The following is a 19,309-nucleotide window of genomic DNA, read 5'->3' on the forward strand; positions in this document are numbered from 1 at the left end:
TAATCCTAATGTAACATCATATATACTTCTGTTACATTAGGATTAGAGACAAGTTCTGTTTAGAAATAACTCCAAGTAAGGTTTTTATATTTTATTTTCATATTGAAAATCAGTCATAATTTCTTCAGCCTCAAAGAATGAGTTTATGTAAAATTAAATGAGTGCTGGCAGTGAGCTGCACTTTTTTTCTCTAAACGGGAAATGGGTTTAAATTTTTTTTTTTTTTTTTTTTTTTTTTTTTTTTTTTTTTTTGAGATGGAATCTTGCAGTCACCCAGGCTGGAGGAATGCAGCGGCACAATCTCAGCTCACTGAAACCTCCATCTCCTGCATTCAAGCAATTCTCTGGCTTCGGCTTCCTGAGTAGCTGGGATTACAGATGCATACCACCACACACACCCAGCTTTTTGTGTTTTTAATAGAGAGGGGGTTTCACCTTGTTGGCCAGGCTGGTCTTGAATTCCTGACCTCAAGTGACCCGCCTGCCTCGGCCTCCCAAAGTGCTGGGATTACAGGCGTGAGCCACCACACTTGAGACTTAGATTTAAAAAAAAAGTTTGAAGGGCCCTGAGTTGGAATAAAGCAATACTCTGCCTTTGTGAGCTCTGATACTGTAAGCATTTTGTTTTTGTTTTTGTTTTTTGAGACAGAGTCTCATTCTGTCACCCAGGCTGAAGTGCAGTGGCACAATCTCAGCTCACTGCAACCTCTGCCTTCTGGGTTCAAGTGATTCTCCTGCCTCAGCTTCCAGAGAAGCTGGGACTGCAGGCACTGGCCACCACACCTGGCTAATTTTTTATATTTTTAGTAGAGATGGGGTTTCGCCGTGCTGGCCAGCCTGGTCTCAAACTCCTGACCTCAGGTGATTCCACCCACCTCGGCCTCCCAAAGTGCTGGGATTACAGGCGTGAGCCACTGCAATGGCCAACAATATATTATATTAAAGAAAGTATCTTTAAACAAACACACATAAAACAAGGTTTTGTACTGATCAGTTGACAAAAAAAATGTGACCATCGCCCACTAGAAACCTAACCCTGTATTTCTCTGGGGGCAGTGATTCAGTATTTGCTAATTCAGTGTTTGCAGCAACTTTATAGACCACCAATAACAAGAACTGACTATACATATGGCATGATTGCATTGTATTAAAATCTAGTACAGGCAAAACTATAATGAAAAAAATCAAAATATATTGAAAAAATCAGTAGTTATCTCTATGGGGGTGGATGGAGACTGACTGGGAAGGAACATAAAGGAACAACTCTGGGGTGAAAGTCATATTCTAGATCTTGATAGGGACTTGGGTTACACAGATATATGTATTTGCCAAAATTCAGCAAATGTGTGTTAAGATTTGTACACTTGGCCAGACATGGTGACTCATGCCTGTAATCCCAGCACTTTGGGAGGCCGAGGTGGCCAGATCGCTTGAGTCCAGGAGTTCAAGACTAGCCTGGCCAACATGGCGCAACCCCATCTCTACTAAAAATACAAAAATTAGCAGGCATGGTGGCGCATGCCTATACTCCCAGCTACTCAGGAGGCTGAGGCAGAAGAATCACTTGAGCCTGGAGGCAGAAGTTGCAGTGAGCTGAGATCTTGCCACTGCACTCCAGCCTAAGTGACAGAGTGAGACTCTGTCTTAAAAATATATATGTATTTGTACACTTCATTATATGTAAATTGTACATCAGAGGAAAACACTGTAATTTTTTTTTTTAAATCAGTGGAGGGCCGGGCGTGGTGGCTCTCGCTTGTAAGCCCAGCACTTTGGGAGGCCAAGGCAGGTAGATCACGAGGTCAGGAGTTCGAGACAAGCCTGGCCAACAAAATGAAACCCCGTCTTTACTGAAACCCCGTCTTTACTAAAATACTTAAATTATCTGGGCATGGTGGCAGGCACCTGTAATCCCAGCTACTCAGGAAGCTGAGGCAGGAGAATCTCTTGAACCCAGGAGGCAGAGGTTGCAGTGAGCCGAGATTGCGCCACTGCACTCCAGCCTGGGCGACAGAGCTAGACTCTATCTCAAAAAAATAAAAAATAATAAAAAAATAAAAATCAGTGGAGGGGTCCACTATTAGTTTGGATGTAGAAAGACTCACTCCCGGCCTGGCACAGTGGCTCACATCTGTAATCCCAGCACTTTGGGAGGCCGAGGTGGGCAGATCACCTGAGGTCAGGAGTTTGAGACCAACCTGACCAACATGGTGAAACTCCATCTCTACTAAAAATACAAAAATTAACCAGGTATGGTGGCACATGCCCGTAATCCCAGCTACTAGTGAAACTGAGGCAGGAGAATCGCTTGAACCTGGGAGGCAGTGAGCCAAGATTGCGCCACCACACTCCAGCCTGGGCGACAGAGCCAGACTGTGTCTCAACAACAACAAAAAGACTTATACCCTAACAACCAAAATAATCCAAATAAATTGTAAAATTATACACACCCACAATTATTTTTTTGGATATAGGATCTCGCTTTCACCCAGGCTGGAGTGCAGTGGCACAATTATGGCTTACTGTAGCCTCGAACCCTGAGGCCCAAGCAGTCCTCCCGCCTCAGCCTCCCAAGTAGTTGGGACTACAGGAGCTTGCCACCACGCCTCGTTAGTTTTATTTTTTGTACAGATGGGGGTCTCCCTATGTTGCCCAGACTAAAAATCGTATTTTAAAAAACACATCAGAGAAGTGGGGATTCAAAGAAACCTATATCAACTAAACTCCAGAAAATGATGAGTTCTTCATAATCAAGGAGAGACCTCCAGCTGCTACTCCCACCTCTGGCAGAACAGCAGTAGTAAAAAGGAACATCAGAAGTGGGGACAAGGAGAAAGTATCCACTTTTAAGAGACTTTTAATGACTATGTGTGAGGTAGCATACCAGATGAGAATCCCAGGGACCACAGCCACAAAATATGTCTTTCCGTACCTCCGAACTCTTTCCTATGGATCCTCGCCTAGAGCTAAGGGGCGGTATGCAAAAAGCTGGGAACAGGGAAGGAGAGCTGAGATCTTTCTGAGGTATGTAAAGTTTCTTGAAAGTGCAGAGTAGGCCGGGCACTGTGGCTGACACTTCTAATCCCAGCACTTTGGGAGGCCGAGGCAGGTGGATCTCTTGAGATCAAGAGTTCGAGACCAGCCTGACGAACATGGTGAAACTCCATCTCTAGTAAAAAAAAAAAAAAAAAAAAATACAAAATTAGCCAGGCATAGTGGCACATGCCTGTAATCCCAGCTACTTGGGAGGCTGAGGCAGGAGAATTGCTTGAACCCAGGAAGTGGAGATTGCAGTGAGCTGAGATCATGCCATTCCACTCCAGCCTGGGCAACAAGAACAAAACTCTGTCTCAAAAAAAAAAAAAAAAAAAAAAAGCACAAAGTAACTGCCCTTAGAAGGAGGTGGTAGGGAAGAGAATTTAAAAACCCAGAAGTGGTCCTCTGGGATTTCATCTTTTGAAGGCTGAGGGTTAGGTAGGAGGGCTGAGAGAAACCTCCCCCACTAGGCTTTCAGCTATCAGATGCTACAGGCTCAGCTGGAGAGCCAAGAGAACCCTTCTGATGCATTCTAGACTTTTACAACGTAAAGTGGAGACCCTCCAAAGGCCAGAGGAGGGAAAGCAGGACTAACAAGGCACAGAGGAAAGGAAGCAGACTCAAAAAGCACAGAGAATGCCCCAGCAACCCAAACACCTGGTTGGTGGTTTGTAAAGCAGGGAGAGCTTACCCAGAGTTGGAGAATTGGCAGTTTGGGTGTGAACAAGAAACAGATTTCTGGAATCTTGCCAGTTCTCAGTTCTAAGCCTGGATGAAAGGACAATCGTGATCCTTCAAAAAAACATTTGAAGCCCAAAGTGAACTGAACCAAACCAAATTCACAACTAAGCCCATTTCAAATACAAAGCATAATGACTTGGTCCTCACTCTCTAGAGTAAGGCCTAGTGTAAGAAGAGAAATGCCATTTCCTGGACATATATATTATTTTAGTCACTAATGTTTTATACAAATATCCAGGCATATGATAAAAAAAATTACAGGACGGAGTTAAAGCAAAACTCATGGTCAAGAGGAAATAATCAATAGAAGTAGATGCATAGATAACCCAGATGTTGGAATTATTAGATAAGCATATTAAAATAACTGTGATAGAAATCTAAATGATCTAGTGAGGAAAGTACACAAGAATTAAAAGATGGGTGATTTCAGCAAACAGTTGAAAACTGGAACCAAAAGGAAATAATAGAAATTTTAAATATATCAGGCAAACAGTTCTACAATAGTTGGAGTCTTCAGTACACCACTTACAATAGCAGATGGAACATCTATACAGAATATTATTAAGGAAATAGACTTAAAACAACACTAACCAACTATACCTAGAAGACACATACAAAATACTCCATCATAACAGCAGAGTACACATTCTTCTCAAGCACTCACGGAACATTCTTCAGGATACATCATATGTTAGATCACAAAACAGTAAATTTAAAAAGACTAGGCTGGCCGGGCATGGTGGCTTACACCTGTAATCAGGCAGAGATTGCAGTGAGCCAAGATTGTGCCACTGCACTCCAGCCTGGTGACAGAGAGAGACTGCGTCTCAAAAAAATAAAAAAAATAAAATAAAAAATAAAAAAAGACACAAATACCTAAAATCAGAAATGAAAGGAAGGACATTACTAGCAACCTTATGGAAATAAAAAGATTGTAAGAGAATACCATGAACAAGTATAAAATAACAAATTGGATTATCTAAGATGAAGTTATAAAATTCCTGGAAATACAAATTATCTAAACTGACTCAAGAAGAAATAGAAAATCTGAACAAATCTATAACAATTAAAGAGATTGACTCAGCAGTCAAAAACTTCCCAAAAAAAGTCAAGACCAGATGCCTTCACTGGTGAATTCTACCAAACACTTGAAGAAGAATTAACGCCAATCCTTTTCAAACTCTTCCAAAAAATAGAAGAGGGAGGAACACTTCGTAACTCATTCTATGAGGCCAGCTTTACCTTGATATCAAAGATAGATAAATCACAAGAAAAGACATCAAATCATTACATGCCGGGCGTGGTGACTTAGGCCTGTAATCCCAGCGTTTTGGGAGGCCGAGGCATGGAGGATCCCTTGAGCCCCAGGAGTTCACGACCAGCCTGGGTAACACAGGAAGACCCCATCTCTACTTTTTAAGTACTTTTTTTTTAAATCAAAAAAGAAAAAAGAAAATTACAAAACAATATCCCTTATAAATACACAGATGCAAAAGTCCTGAAGAAAATCCAATGACGTATTTAAAAAATGGATATACACCATTGATAAAAGGAATTCATCTCATGAATGCAAGGATAGTACAACCTAAGGAAATCAATCAGTGTAATACATCACAGTAACAGAACAAAAAAGAAAAAAACATGATCATCTTAATAGACACAGAAAAAAAGTTCGATAAAATCTAACACCCTTTCACAATAAAAACGCAAAACTAGGAATGGAAGAGAACTTCCTCAACCTGATAAAGGGCATTTATGAAAAACACTGCTAACATCAAACTTAATAAATAATGAAAGCTTTCCCCCTAGAATCAGAAACAAAGCAAGTGAAAATTACAACTTTGGCTAGTTGTGGTGGCTCACACCTGTAATCCCAGCACTTTGGGATGCTGAGGCAGGAGAATCACTTGAACCCAGGAGGCAGAATAAAATTACAATTTCAGAAAAAGTATGTGTCTTGTATCTGCCATTGTGAGCTTGACAGCTTGCCAACACTCGAAGATTTTTGTGACTGGACATGGCAGCTCACACCTGTAATCCCAACACTTTGGAAGGCCAAGGCAGGAGGACTGCTTGAGCTCAGGAGTTTGAGACCAGCCTGGTCAACACAGCAAGACCCCATCTCCATTTTTTTTTTTTTTTTTTTTTTTGAGATAGAGTCTCTGTCACCCAGGCTGGAGTGCAGTGGTGTAATCTGAGACCTGTCCCGAGACCAAAAAGTTTGAGAACCACTGCCATAGAAAAGCACCAGGACATGTACCAAAATGGTCTCGGAAGCATTGTTTCTAATCACAACCCATTGGGAACATCTCACATACCCATCAGCAGCACAATATGTTATATATATATATATATATATATATATATATATGTATGTATATATTTAGTGCTTCAGACAAGGGAGGTCATGCTCAAGGCAGCCTACTCTCAAATCTTCATCCAAAGAAATCCTGAATGTTCCCTGGGTCTCTGCTGGATTCTAGAACTCTTGTCCTCACCCTTAGCTACTGCAAATGAATCTTGGTCCTATGCCCACAGCAATTAGTCCCAGCCCTGGCATCATTCCAAAGGAAAAATGTTAAATCACACCTGCCCGAGGCCTCTGGAATGGTTCAAAAGCTTAGGGAAAAGGGTGTACAGGGTAGGAAAGTGGGGTGAGTGAGGCATTACCTCCTCAGCCAGAAAGCGCAGTTTTGCCAGGAGCTTCTTGGCCAGTGCCACCTTCTTTTGCACATTGCGCCGTCTCAGGCCGCGTAGAAGTCGCAGTCCTTGCTTAGCCAAAAGGTTCTGGGAGGGCAAAAAGACAGCATGAGCGGAAGGCCCCAGCTAGGCGCCCCTGAGTCCCTTCCCGAGGCCGTACCAGGCTGTGCACCAGGAGTTTCCCTCGGCATCGATCCAGGGCATTGGGCCGGGTCATCGTCCTGCGCTCGGCACCGTGGCAAAACTGTCTGCAGTGAGCAGGGATGTGCACAGCAGACAGGAATCAAAGGAAAGGAGAAGGACAGTGACCTTGGGGCCACTTGCTCTGAGCTGACCTCCCACCCCCAGCCTCCCTCATAGCCCTCTCAGTCTTGGGCTCTGAAGAGGCACCCTTTCTCCTGCAAAGCTGGCCTATCTCTATTTGGACCACTCCCAAAAATCATTAAGGCCAGCCTTGCTCTTGAGCTCCAGAGCTCGCTAATACTTAACCACCTACTACCCTGGCTACCCCAGGTGTGGCCCATGGACCAACAGCACTGGTATCACCTGCAGGCTATTTAAAACTGTAGGACCTCAGCCCCACCCCAGGCCCTGCTGAATCAGAAGCTGCGTTTATGCCCTCGGGGATTCCTAAGCACATTGAAGCCTCAGACGTCTCCACCAGCTTGGCTAACGTATAGCTTGAACATTACATGCCCAAGCCAAATGCATACTTTCCAATGATCCCCCCCGCAAAACAAAACAAAACAAAACAAAAACCCTATTTCACCTCAGAACTTTCGAGTCATCTCTCACTGCTCTTTCTCTCTTATTCCACATCAATTCATCAGCAAATTCTTTATGCTCTACCTTCAAAAAATATCCAGAATCTGGCCAGGTGTGGTGGCTCAGGCCTGTAATCCCCGCACTTTGGGAGGCCGAGGCGGTGAATCACTTGAGGTCAGGAGTTCGAGACCAGCCTGGCCAAAATGGTGAAACAACTGTGTCTACTGACGCTGAAAGGTTGAGCATGGTGAGAACAGAAAAGTGACCACCTACAGCCTCCTACCTCACTGCCTCTCCTGATCAGGGTCCTTGGCTGAGTCCCTGCTTCCTCCCTGCCTCTAAATGCTGGAACGCTCCAGGTTCTCAGATTTCTCTTTTCTGTGCTCTGTTAATGCTGTTATCCAGCTCCATCTACATAATGATAGTTCCCAAATTGACATTTCCAGCCTAGAATTCTCCCCAGAACTCAACTCATATAGCTAACTGCCTACCACACATGTCCACTTACAATTCAATAAGAATTTCACAGTTAACATGTCCAAAACTGAGCTCCTACTATCTGCCTTCCCTCAGATCCCACCTCATCCCTGCTTCCATCAGACCTTCTCCTTTGTTTTCTGTTGAAAACAGATTTTTTTCTTTTTTCCAAAAAAAGAAGATTTTGGCTTGCATAACTATGCAGTTGGTGCAGCCTTAAACTCCTGGACTCAAGCCATCCTCCCATCTCAGCCTCCTGAGTAGCTGGGACTACAGGTGTGCACCACCACACCCAGCTAACTTTTGTATTTTTCATAGAGACAAGGTCTTCCTATATTGTTCAGGTTGGTTTCAAACCCCTGGGCTCAATTGATCCTCCCACCTTGGCCTCCCAAAGTGCTGGGATTCCAGGTGTGAGCCACCATGCCCAGCCCACAAGCCAAAATCTTAGCAAGTCCTGAGGTATCACCCCCAATTCCAAATTTTCTCTGGAATCCATTCACAGCACTCCATCTCCACTGCAACCATCCCCTAGATCAGTTCATCGCCACCTGTCACGTGGATTATCACAATAGCCCCTTTACTAATCTCCCTGCTTCCTCCCCCACTGATCCCTTTTAAGGATCTATGTGTTAGAGTGTATCTTTTTCCTTTTCAAAACATTCACTGCCCCTCCCCCCCCATTTCACTCAGAGAAGAAGCCAAAGTCATTAAAATGGCTTGTGAGGCTCCCACAGGATCTGTCCCTCCCCACCATCATCCTCCTTCCCCTGGCCTCCTCCAGCCTCTTCTACTATGTCACACTGCTGCAGTCACACTGGTTCTGTGCTCCTCCTCAAACACTCCAGGCATGCTGTCCCCTCCACCTGGAACACCATTACAGGCAGGCTTTCTCCTCCAGCTTCATGTCACCTTCACGGTGGCCTCCCCTCCACACCCTTTCTGAAATTGCAGTACCTCTTTCTAATGCTTCCTTGCTTCGCGTTCTTTCTTAACACTTATCCTACTTAGTATTTTTCTATCTGTTTACATGCTTATTTCACATGTCTCCACCCTTCCCCAACCTCTACACCCAAATGTAAGCTTCAGGGTTTTTTTTTAAAGTCAGGGTCCCATTCTGTCACCCAGACTGGAGTGCAGTGGCGCAATCATGGTTCACTGCAGCCTTGAACTCCTGGGCTCAAGATCTTCCCACTTCAGCCTCCCACAAGTAGCTGGGACTACAGGCATCAGCCATTGTGCCTGGCCAACTTCAGGGATTTTTGTGGGCAGGAATGCTTTTTCACTGATATTCCTGTGCCTAAAACAGTGTCTGGCATAGTAAGTGCCATAAATAGTTATCAAATAAAGAACCCTTTTGAGAAGAGGATCTGAAAATCACTTAAGTACCTGGAGCAGGTAATGGAATTCAGGGCAGTAGTGAAGGTCAAAGATGGAAGTAACTAGAACATGTTTTTTTTTTGTTTTCTTGTTTGTTTGTTTTTGAGACGTAGTCTTGCTCAGTCACCCAGGCTGGAGTGCAGTGGCGCAATCTTGGCTCACTGCAACCTCCACCTGCCAGGTTCAAGTGACTCTCCTGCCTCAGCCTCCCAAGTAGCTGGGAGGTACCCACCATTATGCCCGGCTAATTTTTGTATTTTTTTGGTAGAGACTGGGTTTCGCCATGTTGGCCAGTCTGGTCTTGAACTCCTGACCTCAAATGATCTGCCCGCCTCAGACTCCAAAAGTGCTGGGATTACGGGTGTGAGCCACCGCACCTGGCCGAACATGTTTATGTGGTTACAGCAATGACCTGGTAACTAGGGACCAATCAATGATGAAGGGGAGAAAATTGACAATTACAGAACTAATTCCTCCAGTGATGAAATCCAGATCACAGCTGTGGTCACTGGAGCAGGAAAGGAGGAGAGCAGATGGATGCAGAAGCCGGCAAGGAGGTAGACTGGGTGTGGGAAGGTGATTAGCAGGAACAAGTGTGAAAGAAAGGAGGCGAGGTTTGAAGAGACACGGGATAAGCCTCTAGGAGCGTGGGAAAGGGAACTCATGGAGATGGAAAACAGCTGAGGTGCCAGAGAATCAGGGGAAGCCTAACCCCCAATAATCTCATCAGCTCCCTGGATAGGAATAATTGTCTTCTCATTTTTCTGTAAGGTGCTGAGCAAATGCAGCTGCAAGCTGCCCTTGGGTCCAGACAGCCACCGAGAGTCTCCCTTGCCCTGGAGTTGGCCCAAGTACAGGCAGCAGTAGGAGTGGCTCTCAGCTCACCTGCTCCCAGCCACCAGTACTTCCAGTGCCTGCTTGAGCTGTGCACAGGCGCCAGGCCCCGGCTTGCGCTGCAGTCTCTCAACCTCCTGCAGCCCCTGGTCCTGTGCAACGTGGGAGAGGGTCAGAGTCTTGAGGGTCCCTGACTCAGACCTCTTGTAGACCACACCCCCACCCAAGGCCCCACCCACTCACGACCACACCTCTTGGCCTGCCCTTCTTTGGCTCCATCAGGTTGATGGCTCCATCTTTCTAGCCCGCTACTGGCTCCACCAAATGTGCGGCCCCACCATCCGTACCTCTACCCATCTCCTTCATCCAGTCCCTTCCTGGGTCCACCAATTCTGAAACTCTGTCCTCCCACAACTCCTGGCATCCTCGGTTCGCCCAGAAGCTGTGCTCTTTGGCCCTTGCCCCCCTGGCCTTGCACCAGCAAGGTGCTGGCTCTCTAGTGCCTGCCCATTAGCCCCACTGCAGAGCTTCCTTCAAAGGCTGCAGTGTCCTAGGCGTCCCTACGGCCCGGTCTCTCCCTGTGGGCGCCAGCCTTGCCCTTACCAGCCTCTCGGCCACTTTGCGCACGCAGTTGCTGCTCTGCAGGCGCCAGGTGTGGTCCTCCCAGCAACTCCACACATGCATGCATGGCTTGCAGTGACAGAGGGGCAAGCAGAAGTATGGCCTGGCAGATGGAGAGGAGGCTTCGCGGGCATTCTGGGTTCCTGGAGACCTCCCAAACCCCCCCTTCCAGCCACCGGCAGCACTCACCCACTGCCGTCCATGGGCTCAGGCCGCTGAGCATGGGTCCCCAGTTCTTCCTCCTCTTTCTCCTCCTCTGGCCTGGCTCCCAGCAGAGGCTGAGCCTCCACGGCTGCACCCTCAGTTCCCTCCCCAGCCCTGGACCCTCGGCCCAATTGCTCCTCCAGACGGCCTGCGCGACCTGCCCCAGAGCAGCAAGGGTCAGTGGGCGCCAGGCTGAGGGCTGGAACCCCCCCTCAACCACCTCTGCCTCAACAGAAGTCAGAACCTGCCCCTTACTGAAAGTCAACACCCCTTCCAGGGTTCTAAGGTCTGAAATGGCACTCAGGGGTTCGGCTAGGCCACACACCAATGGAGATCTCGAAGCTGATGGGCTGGGAGGCCACGGTGGGGTCGATCATGGTGGCCTCGAAGAGCACACCGAAAAGCAGGAAATCTTCACAGGGCGCCAGGACATTCTGGGGGAGGCCATCAGGCTGGAGTCAGCACCTACTCTCCCAGGGAACAGCCTGGACTATGCTTGGCCGCATTGCCCACAGAAAGAAGTGCGACCAAGGCTTGGAAGTCACTGCAGGTTTCTTACTCCCTCTCCCTCCTCCCGGCCCCAGCATTGGCCCTGGGTATGGGTCCTCTCTCCCACAACATGTGTGCATATACCAGAGCCCATGTGGGCACACACCTCACTCTTCGCCCAGGCCCCCAAATTGAGACCCCTGTCGTGGTGTTTAATGCCTGAGAGTGGATTCCACCTTCCAGAGCTGAGGTGACCCCGCCCCCTTTGCTACCCCCCAGCCCCCACCTCTGGCAGCGGCAGCAGCTCCTCCACCTCCACCTCCATGGCACGGGGGATCTCAGGCCCCTCGGCACCGGGGCTGGCGTCCAAGTGCTGCGGAACCGCCTTTGGGGTCTGATCCCTTCTGGCTTTCTTTTTCTTCTTTCGGGTGAGCCGGGACAACGTGGACCCCTGCTGGGCCTGGGGAGGCTCAGGTTCAGCTCTCCCTTCCAACACCTGCATGGACACAGCCAGCAGAAGGCGGCCGCGGAACCAAATGCCTTGGCCAACGCCTTCGTTGAGACCTTGAAGACTATCCCGGAGCCCCGCGCCGGGGGGCGAGCCATAGAGGGGCACCCAGGCCGGGCCGAAGGTAGGGTTAAACCCCGCTGTGGGGAACAAGAGAAGCGTGTTGGAGGGGAGCGTGGGGAGGGCGAGTGCTGGTAAATCTCTGCACCTCACCCTGATCTCCTCCAAGTATTCGGGGGTGAGGGCAGGGGAGGGGGGCTAAGCCGCTCTGAAACGGAAGAAGTTGGCCAGCAGCTGCGGACGCGCCGCTGTGGAACACGACCTGGGGCGCCTCCAAAACAGCTCAGCGCCCCAAGGAGCTGGAAATCGCGGGAGCCCGGCCTCGGGGGACGCAGCCTGAGCCCTGGGGGCGGGGTCGGGATTGGGGCGGAGCTACGGGCGATCGGCCAGGCCTGGGGGTCGGGGAAAGGAGTGGACCGGCAGTGTCAGCGTGTGCACAGCTGTAGAAGGGTGGGACTGGGCTGGTTACTGGACAGGCGGTTGTGGTCAGAATTTTGCCAACGGAGCCAAACCGATGGTGGGGTTCACAGTCTGGGGGCGGCTTGAAGCAGTTTGTTTTGCGGGCGGACCAGCCCTCCTAGGCGGAGCGGGGTCGCGAGGATGGGGCTTGCGGTTGGGAATGGGCCCTATGGAGCCCTATGGACCGAGGCGAGTGAGGCCAGATTTGCCGCGGCCAGAAGCGCTCACCCGCGCGGCCCGGATGGGAGATCCGCCTCAGGTCCGGCACGTGCGTAGCGAGTGCCGCGTCGACCAGGGGCGCGTCGTCCCGCAGCTGCAGGCGGAGGCTGCGCGTCAGCGGCGGGAAGAGCTCCACGAAGCTCAGCTGCTCGTTCCATTCGGGCGCCGCCGCCTCGGCGCTCACCGACGTCTCGCCCTGAAGGTGGCGTTAAAGACAGGAGAAGGGAGATCAGCGCGGAGTCGGGGCCGGAGCCGCGGCGCCGTGGGCCCCGGAGGGACTTACCTCCTGCCCCAGGAAAGACACCCGCACATAGGGCTCCACCAGGACGCGCTGGTCGTGCAGGGCGCGGACCAGGCTGCCCAGCAGCCCCAGGCGCAGCGCGGGAAGCCCCTCGGCGCGGTACAGGCGCACGCGGAGCCGCGCCCATGGCCTCTCGGCGGGCACCCCGCGCGGCAGGAGCAGGTTCCTAGGGGAGGGGGCACCGAGCGGGGGGGGAGAAACTGGGATCTCGGCCCCTCCCCTTATCCGCGCCCCACGGCCACCCCCGGATCCATGTCCTCCTCCCCACCTCACCCCGGCTCACTTCTCGATGTCCGAACAGTGCCCTGGGGCCGGGGGTAGCATTGGAGGGGGCAGGTCCCCGCGCGCCCTCACGGACAAGGTGACCTTAATGAAACCCTTGGTCCCGGCGCGGGTGTCTCGGGGATCATGCAGCGGAACCCATCTTTGGTAGAACTGGCCATCTAAGGGCGAAGGGGCGAGCCAGGGGTAAGGGGCGACCGGCGGGACGCACAGGGTGGCCGTGAGGCTATCGGAGTGACGGACAATGGCCAGGGCTTCTCTGGCTCAGCAGGGAGGGGCGGAAGTGCCAAGAGTTCAGCCTCCGCCAGAGATGGCCCTCTCCGAAGTGAGTGTATAGGGGTCCATGCGGAGTCACTGCAGGGTCAATCTCTAGGGCCCTTGTCCGTGCAGAGTCTCAATAAGGGGACGATTCCATACCTGGCTGGTCCAAGATGATGCCCAGGTCCATCCTGAAGGTGCCTATCCGGGTGGCCATAAAGGGGAGGGTCTGCGAATGGAAAGCCTTGGGGGAAGGTGGTGTTAGTCCTGCAGCTTTCTCATCCCCCCTTCTCTGAAGGACACTGGTCACCCCTACCCCACTCACCGTGATCTCCAGCAGCAAGTCTTGGAGACGAAGCCGCGTGTCATGAAATTCGAACAAGAAGTACTGAATTGAAGTGGGGATGAGAGGTCAGATGTGAAGGGCTCCTGCCAGCTTACCCAGGTCTCTTGCTCAGAAGACCCTCCTTCCCCCACCCCCAACCCTCTCACTGCAAGCTTTTCCTGGATCAGCAACCCCCCAACCCCAACCCATAGGCCCAGCATCTGGCTCCATTTCCACCTAGGCCTCACCCGCTCCGGGAATAGTTCTCACATCAACCCCTCCCATTCTGTCAGGCTCGCCCTCTTCTGTGGTGGCACCCACCTCATTGTAGAAGGGGCAACTGGTCCCACGCTGTGTGGCGGTCACACGGCGCTGCCCCCCCACTTGCACGGCCACATAGGGGTTAATGTTGACTCCCACCAGTTTCTGGGCTTCCAGCACAGTGACTCCCACCTGAGAGGTACAGAAGGATGAGGAAAGGAAGCCAGACCTGCCTGGGTGGAGGGAAAGAACATGCGTGCCAGAAGAGGTAGTACTTCCAAGGGTTAGGCCCTGGAAAAAGAGTAGTACCTGGAAGTCTTGAGCTCTGGACACCTGGAAGGGATCCCCATGGGCCAGGGCCCTGGCGCGGCTGGAGAGAAGCTTAAGGTTAGCACTCACTTGGTCCCTCCCCTGCACACGCACACGCGCGCACACACACACACACACTTGCTTGGTGCTGGGAATGATGTTTTCTCTCCCTCTGAATTTTTGGATTCCAGGTCCTTCAGGTCATGTCTTGCTGCCTCCATCTCAACCCTGCACCCACAATTTGACTCATTCCTGGAGCCCGAAACCATTCATTCATGCAACAGAGGTTTATTGAGTACCTACTATGAGCTAACACTGTCCCAAGCACTGGGACGCTGTAGTGAAGAGACAAATCTTGCCCTCATCAAGCTTTCATCCCCTGCATGTGTGTGAGCCACTGTAACTATGTGTATGAACATGGCAGTGTCTATGCCTATGAGCAAGTGACTGGAGAATCCACCCTTCCCACACCCCCTGGGACTGTGTGTTTGTGAGGGCAGATGGGTGTGGGAGCAGGTGTGCCGTGGGTACAAGTTACCTCTTGAGGGGGCTGAACATAACACCAGAAAGTTCCACGTCAGGCTCATCATCCAGGTCCTGCTCCAGCTCAAGCTCCAGCTCATTCTCTTCATCGTCCTGCTGGCCTAGACTTCGAGCTAGCCTGCGGCCTAGAGCCACTGCCCGCCGCTCCAGCTGGGCCTCCCCAGGCCTGATAGGAAAGACCCTCAAGGGACATGCCTGGAACCCATCACCCATCTCCAGGCAATCCCTTGACTTCCTGGAGCCTTGGACTGACCCCTGACCCTTGAACTGATCCCACTGATCCTAGGACCAGTTATTGACCTTGTGGCTGACTTCACTGATCCCAGGACAGACTCTTAACCCTGGGACATTTCTAATTCCAGAACTGACCTCTGATTCTAGGACTGACCTCTGACCCTGGAACTGATTCAGTTCTGACCCAAGACCCTGGGGCTGCCCCCATATCACTGGCTCCTAACTCCAAGACTGACTCAGTGACTCCAGGTCATCCCCACATACTTACTCCAGTTCCTGGAAGCCCACATTGGGGATGATTAACTCGAAGCTGGGGAATAATAAATGAAAGGACTAAGAGGAACATTCCTAACTACAGAGCGGCACCTGCTCAGCACACGTCCAAGGGTCACTGAATCGGCAGATCCAGAGTGGAACCGGGCACTACTTCTCCCTTTCCAGGGTCTGCCTGGGCTGGGACCACCAGGTCTTGCTTCAGTTGCTGAGGGGATTACCTGTCCTGGATGGGTGCCCCAAAGTCCTCCTCTGACCAGGCTCCAGTAGCGCCCTCTGGGGGCTGGTACTTCAGGTCAAGCTCCACCTGGATCTGAAACCAGATACAGTATCCCCTAGGGCCCCCCATCTAACTGCCCTGGGTCTAAGAGAGGCCCAAGGACAATGCCAGTGCCTTTTACTACAGGCGGCAGAGATCTTTCTGGCCAGCATCCGTGGTGCCTTGTGGTTCCTCTCTGATCATTAATAATGTAGACTACTCATAACCTATTAAGAACTAAGTAACTAGGCAAGTTTCCTCGTTATTTTTTTCTTTCTTTTTTTTTTTTTTTTTTTTTTTTTTTTTAGTATTGATGAGGTCTTATTATGTACCTTGCCCAGGTTGGTCTTGAGCTCCTGAGCTCAAATGATCCTTCTGCTTTAGCTTCCCAAAGTGCTGGGATTACAGGCATGAGCCATTGTGCCCAGCCGCAAGTTACCTCTTGAGGCCCAACAGGATTCCAAAATTGTCTCATTTTTGTTGGAAATCCCTTACGGTGGCCTTCACTACTCTGCCTGGTCTGGCCCCACCAACCTTTCCAGCTCCATCTCACTCCAGGCACCCCAGCTGTGCTCCTTCAAGGCGCTGGACTTTTGCATATGCCTTTTCCTCTGCCTGGAACATTCTCTCCTCCCAGTTAACATCTGTTATCCTTCAAGTCTAAGTTCAGGTACTATTTCCTCAGGGAACCTTCTCTGGCCCCCAAGTAGATCATACTCCCCTGTGGTACCCTCTCCCAGCCCCTACCAGCTTTCTTCTAACACCTGCCAGTTCCAGTTTCACACTTACTTGTGTGAATATTTGTTTAATGTTTGCCTCCCTTCCAAGGGTGTGAATCTTTATCTGGTTTTGCTCACCACGGAATCCTCATTGCTCAGCTCAGCATTTGGCTTATCATAAGAGCTCAACAAATGATGACGGACTGAACAAAAGAACTCCACATTATATAAATGAGAAAATAGCTTCCAGGCCAGGTGCGGTGGCTCATGCCTGTAATCCCAGCACTTTGGGAGGCCGAGGGTAGATCACAAGGTTAGGAGTTCGAGACCAACCTGGCCAAGATGGTGAAACCCAGTTTCTCCTGAAAATAAAAAAATTAGCTGGGTGTGGTGGCGGGCGCCTGTAGTCCCAGCTACTTGGGAGGCTGAGGCAGGAGAATCACTTAAACCTGGGAGGTGGAGGTTGCACTGAGCCGAGATTGAGCCACTGCATTCCAGCCTGGGTGACAGAGCAAGATTCCGTCTCAAAACAACAACAAAAAAAGAAAACAGCTACCAAATGCTAAAGAACGTGTACAAGTTCCCAGACGGGAAATGGCAGATCTGAGATTTGAAGTTAGGTCCATGTCTACTAGGCTATGAGCCCTTCCATGAAACACCAGGAAAATCCAGCCAGGTTCATCTTTGTCTCCCAAAAGAATTGATTGCTGAAAGGAATCCTGGCTGGAGGCCTTGTTACCACTCCTCTCTGGGTCTTAGGTTTTCCCCTGTGAGAAATGGAACCCTTTATCTAGAGGTACTTAAGGGTGGCAGCCTGGGGGCCAGAGGGGCTCACCGGGGACACTTGAAGATTCTCATCCACTAGGGCTTCCCGTAGCACCAAATGCCCAGCATTCTGTAGCTGCTGCAGGGAGATCACCAGGGTCCCTAGAGGCCTAGGGGAGTGGCATAGAGCAAAAGAGTGACCCAAGAGAATGGCTCTAAGTCACCCCCAGCCCAACCTGCATCCCTGTCTCCCCAGGCCTACTCACCTAAGGCTGAATACACGGCTGCAGTTGACCACCTGCACAGACAGACACTCCCCAGCCAGTGGAGCCCCATAGTGGGGCCATCGGAACAGCTGGGGACAGGAGGAAGCTTGTGACACCCATGCTGTGCTGACCCTAAACTCCAATCCAAAGCCCATTCTTGGCTGGGCACAGTGGCTCACGCCTGTAATCCCAGCACCTTGGGAGGCCAAGGCAGGCAGATCACTTGAGATCAGGAGTTCAAGACCAGCCTGACCAACATGGTAAAACCCCTTCTCTACTAAAAATACAAAAATTAGCCAGGTGTGGTGGTACATGTCTGTAATCCCAGCTACTCAGGAGGCTGAGGCAGGAGACTCGCTTGAACTTGGGAGGTGAAGTTTCCAGTGAGCTGAGATTGTGCCATTGCACTCCAGCCTGAGTGACAGAGTGAGGCCCTGTCTCAAAAAAAAAAGAAAAAAAAAGAAAAAAAAAAACCCTATTCCTAACCCTCAGACAGGAGCCAATCCTCCAGACTTAGAGCTAACTTTAGGACTAACATCCCCAAACCTGGAAGGGATCCCTGCACATGGGTTTGAATCTGAGTGAGGGCTGATCTGGGACTAACTAGTGATCAAGAATGAATTCCCCCAGTCTTGCAACTAATTTGTTCCAATCTGGGTCTGATCTCTCAGGCCTCAGACTGACCCCACCTCCCAAGACTATACTTCCCCAAACCCAGGAATGAGCCCCTGAACCCCAGGTTGGACTTGGATGGGAGACAGATCAGGAACCAACTGTACTGACCTCACCGATATCTGCTTCTGGACCACAGTGAATTTTTCTTGTTTTCTGGGTAAAGCCTGCTCAGAACTGAAACTAGTCATATATCAGCCCCTCCCCCCACACACACAAAAATAATTTGCTTCCCCCACTCTTGGCCCAGTGTCAAGTCCCTCCTGGATTCACCCTTAAAGAAAGGTAGACAATGGGAAGGAAAGAGGCAGAGGGTTGGAGATACCAGTGTGGGTAGAGAAAAGAAATGGGCTGTAGAGATGGGAAGGCATTGGGTCAAGGGCCCCCAGTTTCAAATATCCTTAGGGCGCCCCTGCAAGCCTCACCTCGAAAGGTGAGCTTCACTTGTCGGTCGTGGGTGCCGGTCAGCCCTGTTAGTCGTTGCACGCGTTACCGTCAGAGCCATGGTCCCAGTGGCACTGGCACTTCCTCTGCCCGTCTGCCCTTCTGCCCACCAGCCCGCCCACCTGAATCGCCTCTGACTCACTGGACTCACCCAGCAGGTTTAGCAATCCCTACCCTTTAGTCAAACACACAGGGAGCAGGCCTGGGGGTCATGGGTGGGGAGGGAGGAGAGGACCGAGGGATAGGGGTAAGGTCCTGGAGGTCAATTCAGCCCTCCCTGCCTCCACCAGCTGCAAGCTGGCAGGACTGCCTCAGCCTCCATCCTGCATCCTCAGGGAGTGAGAGCTGTGATAGGGTGGGAGGGAGGCAAGGGGAGTGAACAGGACCCCAGTCTGCTCCCTGCCAGCCGATGAGGCCTCAAGGACATGGACCTCATGCCTTTTCGTTTCTTTTTTCTTTGTTTTTTTGTTTTTTGTTTTTTGGTTTTTTTTGAGATGGGGTCTTGCTCTGTCATCCAGGCTGGAGTGCAATGGCACGATCTCAGCTCACTGCAACCTCTGCCTCCTGGGTTCAAGCAGTTCTCCTGTCTCAGCCTCCCGGGTAGCTGGAATTACAGGTGTCCACCACCACAGCTGGCTAATTGTTTGTATTTTTAGTACGGACAGGGTTTCGCCATGTTGGCCAGGCTGGTCTCAAACTCCTGATCTCAGGTGATCTGCCCACCTCAGCCCCCCAAAGTGCTGGGATTATGGGCATGAGTCATTGTGCCCGGCCTCTCCTCTTTTCTATCTCTCTCTCGCTCTCTTTTATTTTTATTTTTTTTACTTTCTTCCTTCTTTCTTTCTTTTCTTTTTTTTTTTTTTTTTTTTCCTGAGATGAAGTCTCACTCTGTCGCCCAGGCTGGA

At 50.5% G+C, this 19,309-nt stretch overlaps 1 long non-coding RNA gene and 1 pseudogene across 2 annotated transcripts in view, besides 4 other annotated features; one reads left to right on the top strand and one right to left on the bottom strand.

Annotated features, from left to right (window-relative positions):
* Window positions 1-18,533, bottom strand: part of FER1L4 (fer-1 like family member 4 (pseudogene)) — a 48,826-nt pseudogene extending 30,293 nt beyond the window's left edge. Inside the window, exons 1-21 of the transcript NR_119376.1 lie at window positions 18,386-18,533; window positions 18,072-18,127; window positions 17,289-17,377; window positions 17,093-17,192; window positions 15,501-15,592; window positions 15,275-15,316; window positions 14,768-14,938; window positions 14,230-14,290; window positions 13,981-14,112; window positions 13,660-13,722; window positions 13,494-13,578; window positions 13,078-13,237; window positions 12,777-12,960; window positions 12,503-12,689; window positions 11,534-11,895; window positions 11,084-11,192; window positions 10,744-10,915; window positions 10,537-10,657; window positions 9,985-10,085; window positions 6,638-6,725; window positions 6,448-6,564 (exon numbers count right to left, since the gene is read on the bottom strand). The product of NR_119376.1 is annotated as a fer-1 like family member 4 (pseudogene) (transcript). The remainder of the gene's footprint in view (window positions 1-6,447; window positions 6,565-6,637; window positions 6,726-9,984; window positions 10,086-10,536; window positions 10,658-10,743; window positions 10,916-11,083; window positions 11,193-11,533; window positions 11,896-12,502; window positions 12,690-12,776; window positions 12,961-13,077; window positions 13,238-13,493; window positions 13,579-13,659; window positions 13,723-13,980; window positions 14,113-14,229; window positions 14,291-14,767; window positions 14,939-15,274; window positions 15,317-15,500; window positions 15,593-17,092; window positions 17,193-17,288; window positions 17,378-18,071; window positions 18,128-18,385) is intronic.
* Window positions 1,026-1,527: an enhancer, noted in NCBI's record as "H3K27ac hESC enhancer chr20:34177977-34178478 (GRCh37/hg19 assembly coordinates)". NCBI's record gives its function as "activates a minimal SCP1, AML or CMV promoter by ChIP-STARR-seq in primed H9 embryonic stem cells {active_cell/tissue: H9 hESC(primed)}" and the evidence as "EXISTENCE:reporter gene assay evidence [ECO:0000049][PMID:30033119]".
* Window positions 1,528-2,027: an enhancer, noted in NCBI's record as "H3K27ac hESC enhancer chr20:34178479-34178978 (GRCh37/hg19 assembly coordinates)". NCBI's record gives its function as "activates a minimal SCP1, AML or CMV promoter by ChIP-STARR-seq in primed H9 embryonic stem cells {active_cell/tissue: H9 hESC(primed)}" and the evidence as "EXISTENCE:reporter gene assay evidence [ECO:0000049][PMID:30033119]".
* Window positions 10,123-10,623: an enhancer, noted in NCBI's record as "H3K4me1 hESC enhancer chr20:34187074-34187574 (GRCh37/hg19 assembly coordinates)". NCBI's record gives its function as "activates a minimal SCP1, AML or CMV promoter by ChIP-STARR-seq in naive H9 embryonic stem cells {active_cell/tissue: H9 hESC(naive)}" and the evidence as "EXISTENCE:reporter gene assay evidence [ECO:0000049][PMID:30033119]".
* On the top strand, window positions 12,648-15,345 carry LOC124904891 (uncharacterized). Its single transcript, XR_007067570.1, has 2 exons — window positions 12,648-14,307; window positions 14,421-15,345. It is a non-coding gene; the product is annotated as an uncharacterized LOC124904891 (long non-coding RNA).
* Window positions 12,656-12,985: a silencer, noted in NCBI's record as "silent region_12860". NCBI's record gives its function as "represses an Ori minimal core promoter by ATAC-STARR-seq in GM12878 lymphoblastoid cells {active_cell/tissue: GM12878}" and the evidence as "EXISTENCE:reporter gene assay evidence [ECO:0000049][PMID:35858748]".
* Window positions 18,534-19,309: the final 776 nt, after the last annotated feature.

This window comes from Homo sapiens, chromosome 20, assembly GCF_000001405.40.
Source record: "Homo sapiens chromosome 20, GRCh38.p14 Primary Assembly".
In the NCBI taxonomy this organism is placed as follows: Eukaryota; Metazoa; Chordata; class Mammalia; order Primates; family Hominidae; genus Homo; species Homo sapiens.